The sequence below is a fragment of the Homo sapiens genome, chromosome 8 (genome assembly GCF_000001405.40).
Source record: "Homo sapiens chromosome 8, GRCh38.p14 Primary Assembly".
NCBI lineage: Eukaryota > Metazoa > Chordata > Mammalia > Primates > Hominidae > Homo > Homo sapiens.
Window position 1 is genome coordinate 106169524 of NC_000008.11, and position 10357 is coordinate 106179880.

General features: G+C 34.8%; 1 annotated feature.

Annotated features, from left to right (window-relative positions):
• Positions 1158-1452: an enhancer, noted in NCBI's record as "tiled region #12229; K562 Activating DNase matched - State 5:Enh, and HepG2 Activating non-DNase unmatched - State 24:Quies". NCBI's record gives its function as "activates a minimal TATA promoter and a strong SV40 promoter by Sharpr-MPRA in K562 cells, with weaker activity in HepG2 cells {active_cell/tissue: K562 | HepG2}" and the evidence as "EXISTENCE:reporter gene assay evidence [ECO:0000049][PMID:27701403]".

A 10357-nucleotide genomic window follows, 5' to 3' on the forward strand; every position in this document is an offset into this window, starting at 1 on the left:
AAAAAAGCCGGCTGTACCTCTCCACTGCACTCAAAACAGAATTCATACTCCTGCCTAGAACATATATCTCAATACAATGTATTTGTATGGTCAACAAAAACTATTGAGCATGATGCTCATGCCTAAACACAATATAGCCGCTTGGGGCACACAATTTCTGCCCTTATGAGGTCCAAGTTGAGAATCATAGGCCCCAAAATAATTTTAAATACAAAATACAAAAAAAAAATAAAGAGACTTAGGACTGTTATGTAGTAACAATTTTTTAAGTCAGTTGACAATAATTCAAAAGTAATTCCAGTCTTTCTATGTTCTTCCTGGAAAACATTACCAGAAATTCAATTTATGTTCTACAGCAATATCCCACACAAAAAATATTTTCCTCTCTTGTGCATTAAAATTCTCTCTTTCTCTGCAAATGCTTTAGAGACTATTGTCAAAAATTCCTCCTCAGTTTACCCAAGTGACTTTTCAACTTTTCTTTCTGGATTCAGATTTAGATGTTATTTTTTAATCAGTTGCATGGATTCTTTATCACAAAAGCAAACTTAAGAACAAACCCTTTTCTGCAGCCTCCCTAGTCCTGTCTGTCTCTGCCTTTTGTCACAATTACCCCACAAAAAGCCCAGGAAAAGGAGCTGGGAAAGAAAGAACACTACTTGAGTTACAAAAAAAAACAAAAAACAAAAAACAAAAAAACACTAGAAAGGCAACTTGGGAATGCTGACATATTAAAATTATCATGTCCTCAAATAAAAAATTACAAAGGAATTTTTTTTTTTGCTGGAGTTATCAGTGCTGAGACGGGGAGGAAGCGGGGCACACCAGGCAGAGATGGTTCCCCAGAGGAGGAGATGCCTGAGTTGAACCTGAACAAATGAGTTAACCCATGGAAAGCAAAGTCAGAAAAGCCTCACATTTCAGGCAGGTAACAGGATAAACCCAGAAGTCAAACAATGGCAGGACTTGAGCCACAAGGCTGGGAATATGGAACATAGTTGCAGGTCTGGAGCCACAGAGCGGCTTAAAAAAGAGAAAGCAGCAGAACTCCTGGCCTGCACATGGATTCGGTATTGAAAGAGGACTGAACAATTCAGGAGCAGGCACAGAAAGAATTCAGTAGTAGAGACCAATGAAGCAGCCCAGCGCTATCAACTGCTGCCACAGTGTGTGTGTGGGGTGTGTGTGTGTGTGTGTGTGTGTGTGTGTGTGTGTGTGTGTTTTCAGACAGCAGGAGTGATATAGGAAGTGGTGATAGTTGGTAGCAGAGAAAACCAAAATGGAGATAAGGAAGTGGAGGCTGCATAAGGCAAATGTGCAGAGTCATCCCACAAAGCTGAAGATTTCAGATGTGTCAGGTAACTTGAAAGGCCTGTGATTCTGACTAATCCTCTGGATCCCAGATGCATTATTAGCTCATAAGTGGAACCCCTTTTAAATGAGAGTTGGGGATGCCAACTTCATTGGGGTACTTCCTACTTTAGAAAGGATGGACCTAGAAATTCAAATGAAGTTTAAATATTTGCTTACTGCTTGTAAATGAAGCAAGCTGTGAGTTTCAGGGACATGATGGGGCAGAGAAAATATTGGGTCGCTATCTCCCACCTTTCCTGCATTATATACCCCATTGCCTGTTTCTTAATTTGCTTTTAAATTTTTGGCATGTCACCCAGGGGCTCGGAATTGCCCAATACATAATCATAATCCTTTTTCACAATACTCTGTTCTCATTGGTATGGTGAACCTCATTTATCTTACTTTATTTGGTTAGTATTTTGTGCATTTAAGTTTTTATTTTATAATATATCAATATCCATAAAACTACTAGCCAAACCAATATCTATCAACTTGGGTAGACGGGAGAGGAACTTCTAAGGATTTAGCAAATAATAAGCTCCAAAGCACTTGCAGAAAAAGGGGGAATTTTAGTGGACAAGAGAGGAAAATTTTTTTGTGGAGTATTGTTGTAGGATATAAATTGAATTTCTGGTAATTTTTCCAAGAACATGTAAAATTAACATCTCCCTATTTTCCCCTCCCAAAGTGCCCCCAGCTATCCTATTCAGAATAGGACAAATACTATCCAGAATGTTTCTTGTTACATTGTTTTTATTGCATGTTGGTATGTTTAAACCATATTGTTTGATGTTGCCTGTTTTTCAACTCTAAAAAATGGGGACGCCGGGCTTGGTGGCTCACTCTGTAATCCCAACACTTTGGGAGGCTGAGGTGGGTGGATCACCTGAGGTCAGGAGTTCGAGATCAGCCTGGCCAACATGGTGAAACCCCGTCTCTACTGAAAATACGAAAATTAGCCAGCCATGGCGGTGCATGCCTGTAATCCCAACTACTCACAAGGCTGAGGCTAGAGAATCACTTGAGCCAGGGAAGCGGAGGTTGCAGTGAGCCAAGATCGCGCCACTGCATTCCAGCCTGGGCAACAGAGTGAGACCCTATCTCAAAAATAAATCAATAAATGAATAACAAAAATAAAATTAAAATTAAAATAAAAGAGGGTACATTATTGTGAAAAGTCCTCAGTGACTTGCTTTTTCATTCAGTATTATGCTACTGAAATACAATCATGTTGATATGTTTAGCCATAGGTCATTTATTTTCATGGCTCTATACAAGCCCACTGTGTAAATGCATTATTCAACTCTCCAGTCACACAGAACACACAGACACCAGCTTCTTTGTTTTTTTTTTTTTCTGTTTTAATTTTGGGGTCTACATGTTTCCTTTTCTCCACATCCTCACCAGCATTTGCTACTGTTTGTCTTTTGGATACAAGCAATTTTAACTGGGGTGAGATGATACGTCGTTGTAGTTTTGATTTGCATTTCTCTGATGATCAGTGATGTTGAGCACCTTTTCATGTGCTCATTTGCCATTTGTATGTCTTTTGAGAAATGTCTATTTAAATCTTCTACCCATTTTTGATCAGATTATTAGACTTTTGTCTGTAGAGTTGTTTGAGCTCCTTATATATTCTGGTTATTAATCTCTTGTCAGATGGGTAGTTTGCACACATTTTCTCCCATTCTGTGGGTTGTCTCTTCACTTTGTTGATTGTTTCCTTTGCTGTGCAGAAGTTTTGTAACTTGATATGATCCTATTTGTCCATTTTTGCTTTGGTTGCCTGTGCTTGTGGTTTATTACTCAGGAAATTTTTGCCCAGACCAATGTCCTGCAGGGTTTCCCCAATGTTTCTTATAGTAGTTTCATGGCTTGAGGTCTTGATTTAAGTCTTTAATTCATTTTGATTTTCATTTTTGTGTATGGGGTCAGTTTTCATTGTTTTGCATATGCATATCCAGTTTCCCCAGCACTATTTATAGAAAAGAGTGTTCTTTCTCCAATATATGTTCCTGGCACCTTTATCAAAAATGAGTTCACTGTAGGTGTGTGGACTTGTTCCTGGATTTTCTGTTCTGTTCCACTGGTCTATGTGACTGTTTTTATGTCTGTACATGCTATTTTGGTTACTATAGCTCTGTAGTATAATTTGAAGTCCCAACTTCTTTGCCTTGACTGAAGCTATTATTTCTGCATTTTCTCCCAGACCGTGAGATGAAAAAATTTTGGAGTTAGCAAAAAAACATTAAAAAGTATTCTAAATATTTTTAAAAATGTAAAGTAAAATATAGATGTAATGAATAAACATATGAGGACTGAGAACAGATAAATGAAACTATTAAAAACAGATAGAAATTTTAGAACTATGAAATATAGTATCTGTGAAGAAAAATTCACTAAATGGACTTAAAAGAAAATTAGACACTGGAGCAAATTAGACACTGGAGAAGAATGGATTAGTGAACTTGAAGACAGGTTAATAAAAATGATTCAAACTGAAGTACAAAGAGGAAAGAAGACTGGAAAAAGGAGGAATCAAGTGAGCCCTAGTGACCTATGTAATAATAATAAGCTCTATATTATATGTATAATTGGGAGCCCAGATGGAAAGGAGAAAGATAAAAATATGTAGCAGCAAAAAAAATGGTCCCAAGTCTCCCATATTTGACAAAACATATGAACCCACATATTCAAGAGTTTAGCAAACCCCAAATAGGGTAAACCCAAGATAGGAGAGGTAAATGATGAGTATCTTTAATGGGAGTAAATACTTATTCCTTAAATGAGTGGCATAAGGTAATGGCTCAGAATGTGTCTTCATAGATGGATTTATTGGGTTTAAATATCAGCTATTTAATTTACTAGTTGTACGAATGTGAGCAAGTTACTTAACTCCTCTGTACCTCAATTTACTCAAATGTAAGAACATATGTGAGAGCATTAATAGTAACTATTTTATAGATTGTTGTGAAGGTTACATGAGTCAATACATGAAAAGCATTTAGAGCATAGCCTTGCACACAGTAAGTACTCAATAATCTAATTTTAAATAAAAGTAGAAACTTTGATTAAGAGAAAAGAGAAAGGGTACAGAGAGAAACAGGGTGTTATGAAGATGATATGCAAGAATTTTGAATTTCATGTATATGAATCTAAGTTGCACTTCGTAAGTTTCTGTGTTTATTAACTGTCTATACCTATGGTTCCAAATCCTAAAACTCAACAAATCTAAATGAGTAGTTTTTACATTCAAATATAATGACAATTCCAATTTTTCAGAATGCCACTGTTATTGATATTAAATATGGTAGTCATAACAATACATTGTTTTGGCATAACATATTGCTCCAAAACGTGCAGAGCATCTATGACATGAAAATTGAATCTTAGTCTATGGTTATTCTGCTTCAATTTCAAATGCCCTTATAATTTTTAGAGGAAGTTTTTTTGTAATCTATAGTAATAGATGATCTATAGGTTAACAGGCACAAAATAGATCACGTTATATATTTATAGCATCTTTAAAACAATGTGTAGTATTGTTTACTAGTGAATTATTTTCTCATATTAAGGACCTACTATGTGTGTGGGACACATAAGTGCACAAAACTAACAAAATCATTATCTGTCCCTAAAACTTATATTCTGAATGTTCTCAACTGACAGGTCACTAATACTTCCTGGACAACTCAACAACAACAAAATAGTTGCTGAAAAGGACTTTGAAGCATTTCATGATTGATTTCTAAGAAAACAATTTTGCTGCTTTCCTTCCAGCTCCCTAATCACCCATCTATCTTATGTGCTCCTCATCCTTCTGCATACGTAATGTAATTATAAATATCATCACCAAACCCTGGGCTTCATATTCTTTTCCATTCATTTTTCTTTTTAAAAAATATTTTTATTTCCCTTTTATTCACTTCTTTCATATCATTACTAATCATCTCTATCCTGATAATAGCTCAGTGGTATGTTAAGAACATTGGGCTAGTTGATGGCCAAAAAATCTGGGAGGTAATTCTAACTCTGACACTAAATTGCTTTGTGACCTTGGGCATATTATTTAAGCTCTTGAGACTCAATTTCATAATCTTTAAGTTGAGGAGAATGTACCAGATGTCGTCTAAAGTTCCTTCAAGCAATAAAATACTGTGATTCTCTGAATCTCAAATAGAAATCTTCATTACTGTGTATCATTCATGATCTATTCCTACAATCCCAGCTGTCTTTAGGGTATTTTCACTTGGATGTCTCATAGCCTAAAATTTATTATGTAAAAAATTGAGGAAGCCTAAAATAATTTGTTGCTGACCAAACTTCCTCTTCCTCTTCATCATCATTATCCAATTCTAACTCATTCACTGTGTTCTTTTAAACCCTTGAGAAATTACCTTCCCCCTTGCCACTCCAACCCCAGCTAATCTTTTTTTTTTCTTTTCTTTTTTGAACCAGTCGTTCATCTCCAAATCAAACCTTTGGTAACATTTATAAGAGTTTCCAAAAAACTTTTTCAATCAATGCCAGACTTAAGAGAGAAATAGTGCCATAAGTTCTATCCTAGAACTGATATATTGATATAGTTTCTGGATTTGCGTTAGAATTGGTAAATAGTTAACTCAATTTCTGGAAAGTCTATTCCCTTTCTCCACCTTAATTCTTTCTCTCTTTGTCATTCTTGATGCCATTGAAATGGGAAGGAATAAAATACAAGGTAATGCAAGTCACGTTTATTATCAAAAGCTTTTCCCCTGAGTCCCAAGTATAAGAAGCAGAGGTGGAAGCTGCAGGTGGGAGCTGGAGGAGGGGACGGAAAACAAAGCAAGGGAGAGGAGGATGCGTCCCAGGACTTACCCTCTTCTTAGTTTTGTGTACTTATTTCTGAAGAAAACTGAACTTAGCAGAGATCTTATTAGAAAATGTGAGGGCATTCAGTGGGTAAGAATGTAAATTAGCACAGCCATTAAGGAAAGCAGTTTGAGGGTTCCTCAAAAACTGAAAAATAAAACTACTGCATTACCCATCAATCATTTGGAACATTTTTAATGAAACAAAGGAGAAACCCGGGTTTGCAACCAAATGCCAACTAGCACTTAATCTATTTAAATATGGTTCCCCAAATCCTGGTTTCCAATTTAAGTTATAAGAAAAATAAAACGTTTCTGGGGGTTCCTAGAAAGAAAATGTTTTCCAGGGTAAGAATACTTTTATTAAGCCACTCTAATATCAGAAATATGTTTTTTTTCTGTTATCTCAGATGTGAGGAAAGAAATGAAGAAGAGGGGCCAAACACATTGCTATCACTATGTATTTCTTAAAAAAATTTTCATTTGGAAATATTCTTTGACTGCTCACAGGTGCCCCCTCCATAAACTTACCAAAAAAAAACATTGTTTAAAAATTCTGATATTTTTATAACTCCAATCCTAGACCTGGTAAATACAGGATGCCCCCAAACAACTAAGCAGTTGGATCTGACATCAGTCTCATCTTCTTTTAACATGTGGCAGCCCCTCACTATTGTCTTGTGAAATAATATCACTTTCAAACTAGGATTGCAGACAGGCATTGCCTTATAACTGTCAGCTTACACCAGACTTGATGTGGGCAGGTAAATAAAGTTTTGCTGGAAGATGCCATAACAATGTTATACCTCTTGTACCTGGAGAGTTGTAACACTTTTCTTCTTGTCTGAAATAAACACTTTTACACAGCCCAGCAGAAGTGTAAGCAAAATTAACCAAATACTTCACAAACACTCTCCCCTTTATAAATGAAAACAATCAAATTTACCACTCATAACTTATATGCAATTGCTTTTCCTGTAGCAGTGATGAGCTTCCATGAGAATCTAAGCATATATTTTTGCCTACATTTTCATCTGTTAAGATGGTTGTTGGCTAGGATTGAGAGATATATTTTCTGTAGCACAGTTCCTCTTTTCTGAAGATCCCATTAAATCAAGCAGACATGACCAATAAAATAAGTGAAATGGTGCCCTTCCACAAATGCACACAGCAAGATCCAATGAGTAATACACAAAGAATAAGGATAGTTGACATGCACTGTGTGCTTACTGTATGGCCAGCACTGTATATAAAATAATCACTTATTCAACAACAGTCCATCTTTGAATAGAAGTGATGAGAGTAAGCATCCTAGCTTTGTTCCAAATATTAGAGAGAAAGAGTTGCATACTCCACTATTAAATATTATATTAGTTGCAGGTTTTTAAATAAATGTTCTTTGTCAGGTTGAAGAAGTTACTCTTTATTCTCAGTTTCTGAGAGTATTTATCATCAGTGGAGGTTGAATTTTTTCAAACACTTTTCTGCATATATTGAGATAATCTTATAGATTTTTTCTTTATTCAGTTAAGGTAAATTAAGTTGATAGATTTTCTAATATTAAAAGTTTATATTCCTCTGTTCATTCATTTATTCTTGATCAGTCTAGCTAAGAATTGATCAATTTTGTTAATGTTTTCAAAATCCATTGTTGGCTTCCTATTTCACTGATTATTTACTCTTATCTTTATTATTTCCTGGTTGTTATTTGCATTTATTCTGTTCTTCTTTTCTAGCCTCCTAGTATACAATCTTATGCCGTTAAGTTTATTCATTTCATTTTTATTATTTTTTAGAATTTTTGTGGCTACATATTAAGTGTATATATTTATGCAGGACATGAGATGTTTTAATATAGTCATGCAATGTGAAATAAGCACATCATAGAGAATGGGGTATCCATCCCCTCAAGCATACACCAGACTTGATGTGGGCAGATAGATAAATACACTTTTGCTGGTAGATGCCACAGCAATGTAAAAACGTTATACCTCTTGTACCTGGAGAGTTGTAACATTTTTCTTCTTGTCTGAAATAAACACTTTTACACAGCCCAGCAGAGATGTAAGCAAAATTAACCAAATACTTCACAAACACTCTCCTTTGAGGTACAAACAATCCAATTACATTCTGTAAGTTATTAAAAAATATACAATTAAGTTATCACTGACTATGGTCACCCTATAATGCTATCAAATAGTAGATCTTATTCATTCTTTTTATTTTGTTTGTGCTCATTAACCATCCCTACCGCCATTCTAGCTCCCAACTACACTTCCCAGCCTCTGGTAACCATCCTTCCAGTCTCTATCTCCATTAGTTCAATTGTTTTGATTTTTAGATCCCACACATAAATGAGAACATGTGATGTTTGTCTTTCTGGGCCTGGCTTATTTCACTTAACATAATGATTTCCAGTTCCATCCATGTTGTTGCAAATGACTGGATCTTATTCTTTTTTATGGCTGAATAGTACTCCATTGTGTATATGTACCACATTTTCTTTATCCATTCATCTGTTGGTAGGCATTTAGGTTGCTTCCAAATCTTAGCTTTTGTAAACAGTGCCGCAACAAACATAGGAATGCAGATATTCTGCAATATAGTGAATTCCTTTCTTTTGGATATATACCCAGCAGTGGGATTGCTGGATCACATGGTAGCTCAATTTTTAGTTTTTTTGAGGAACATCCAAACAATTCTCCATGATAGTTGTATTAATTTATACTCCCATTAACAGTGTACAAGGGTTCCCTTTTCTCCACATCCTTGTCTGCATTTGTTATTGCCTGTCTTTTGCATGTAAGCCATTTTAACTGGGGTAAGATGATACCTCATTTTAGTTTTGATTTGCATTTATCTGATAATCCATGATGTTGAGTAACTTTTAATATGCCTGTTTGCCATTTGTATGTCTTCTATGAGAAATAGTTATTGATTTTAGACCTTTCTTTTACACTGATGTAAGCATTTAAATCTATAAATTTCCCTCTCTGCAGTGCTTTGGGTGTATCCCACAAATGTTGACATGATGCGTTTTTATTGTCATTCAGCTCAAAGTATATTTTTGTTACTCTTCTGATTTTCTCTTTCACAATGAATTATGTAGAGGTAAGTGATTTAATTTCCAAATATGTTGTGATTTCCTGATTACCTTATTGCTATTGATGTATTTTTCCCTTGGAAAAAAAATATACAATCTCTCCAATGATTTGTTTTATAGGCTACCATATATAGCTTGGTTAATGTTCCATTTGCACTTTTTAAAATGTGTATTTTGGACTTGTTGGGTTTGGTGTTGTATAAATATATATTAGGTGAAGGTAGTTGATAGGGTTGTTTGGATCAACATTGTCATAACTGATTTTCTCTCTAGTTGCTCTATCAGTTGCTGAGTGTGGCTTTAAAATCGCTGAATCTGATTAGGCAATTGTTATTTTCTCTCTTTCATTATATCATGTATTTTAAAGAAGCTTAAAACCTTTAAATATCATTTACCCTGCTGTCTTTCATCATTTCTTATGTGTTTTTGCTCTACACATGTTTTTGTTGTTGTACTTTTTTCAATTATTTTTTACAGTCAATATGAATTTATAATAACATACAAAAGTACCCTTTCTCAATTTCATTTTTTCTGTCTGAGATTATATTCCTTCTAATTGGAAATTTCTCTTTAGGGTATTTGCTTTTTTTAAATTATTATTTTAAAATTGTGCTTTGTTTCAAGTGAAAGTCTTCTTGTGACATATTACATTCAGTTTGTTTGAAACATACTTATTTCCCCTTCATTTTTGAGAATTATTTTCAACGGATATAGAATACTAGGTTGGAAGCTACTTTTATTCAGTTCTTTAAATATGCCTTTTTAATGTTTTCTGGCTTTCCACTGTTTTCTTTATGTTGAAAAGACAACTATCAGCCTTACTGTTGCTCCTTTTAAATCACTATGCACTTTTTTCTCACTACTTTTTGCGTTTTCTTCTTTTTTTTGGTTTTAGCTCTTTGAATGTGATGTCTTCTTTGGGTCTCTTAATCCTGGTTCACCAAGATTTTGAGTTTGCAGGTTGATGCTTTCATCAGATTTTGAAAATTTTCAACCATTATCTCTTCGAATGTTGCTTCTGCAAGATCTCCTCTGTTTTCAATTGTTC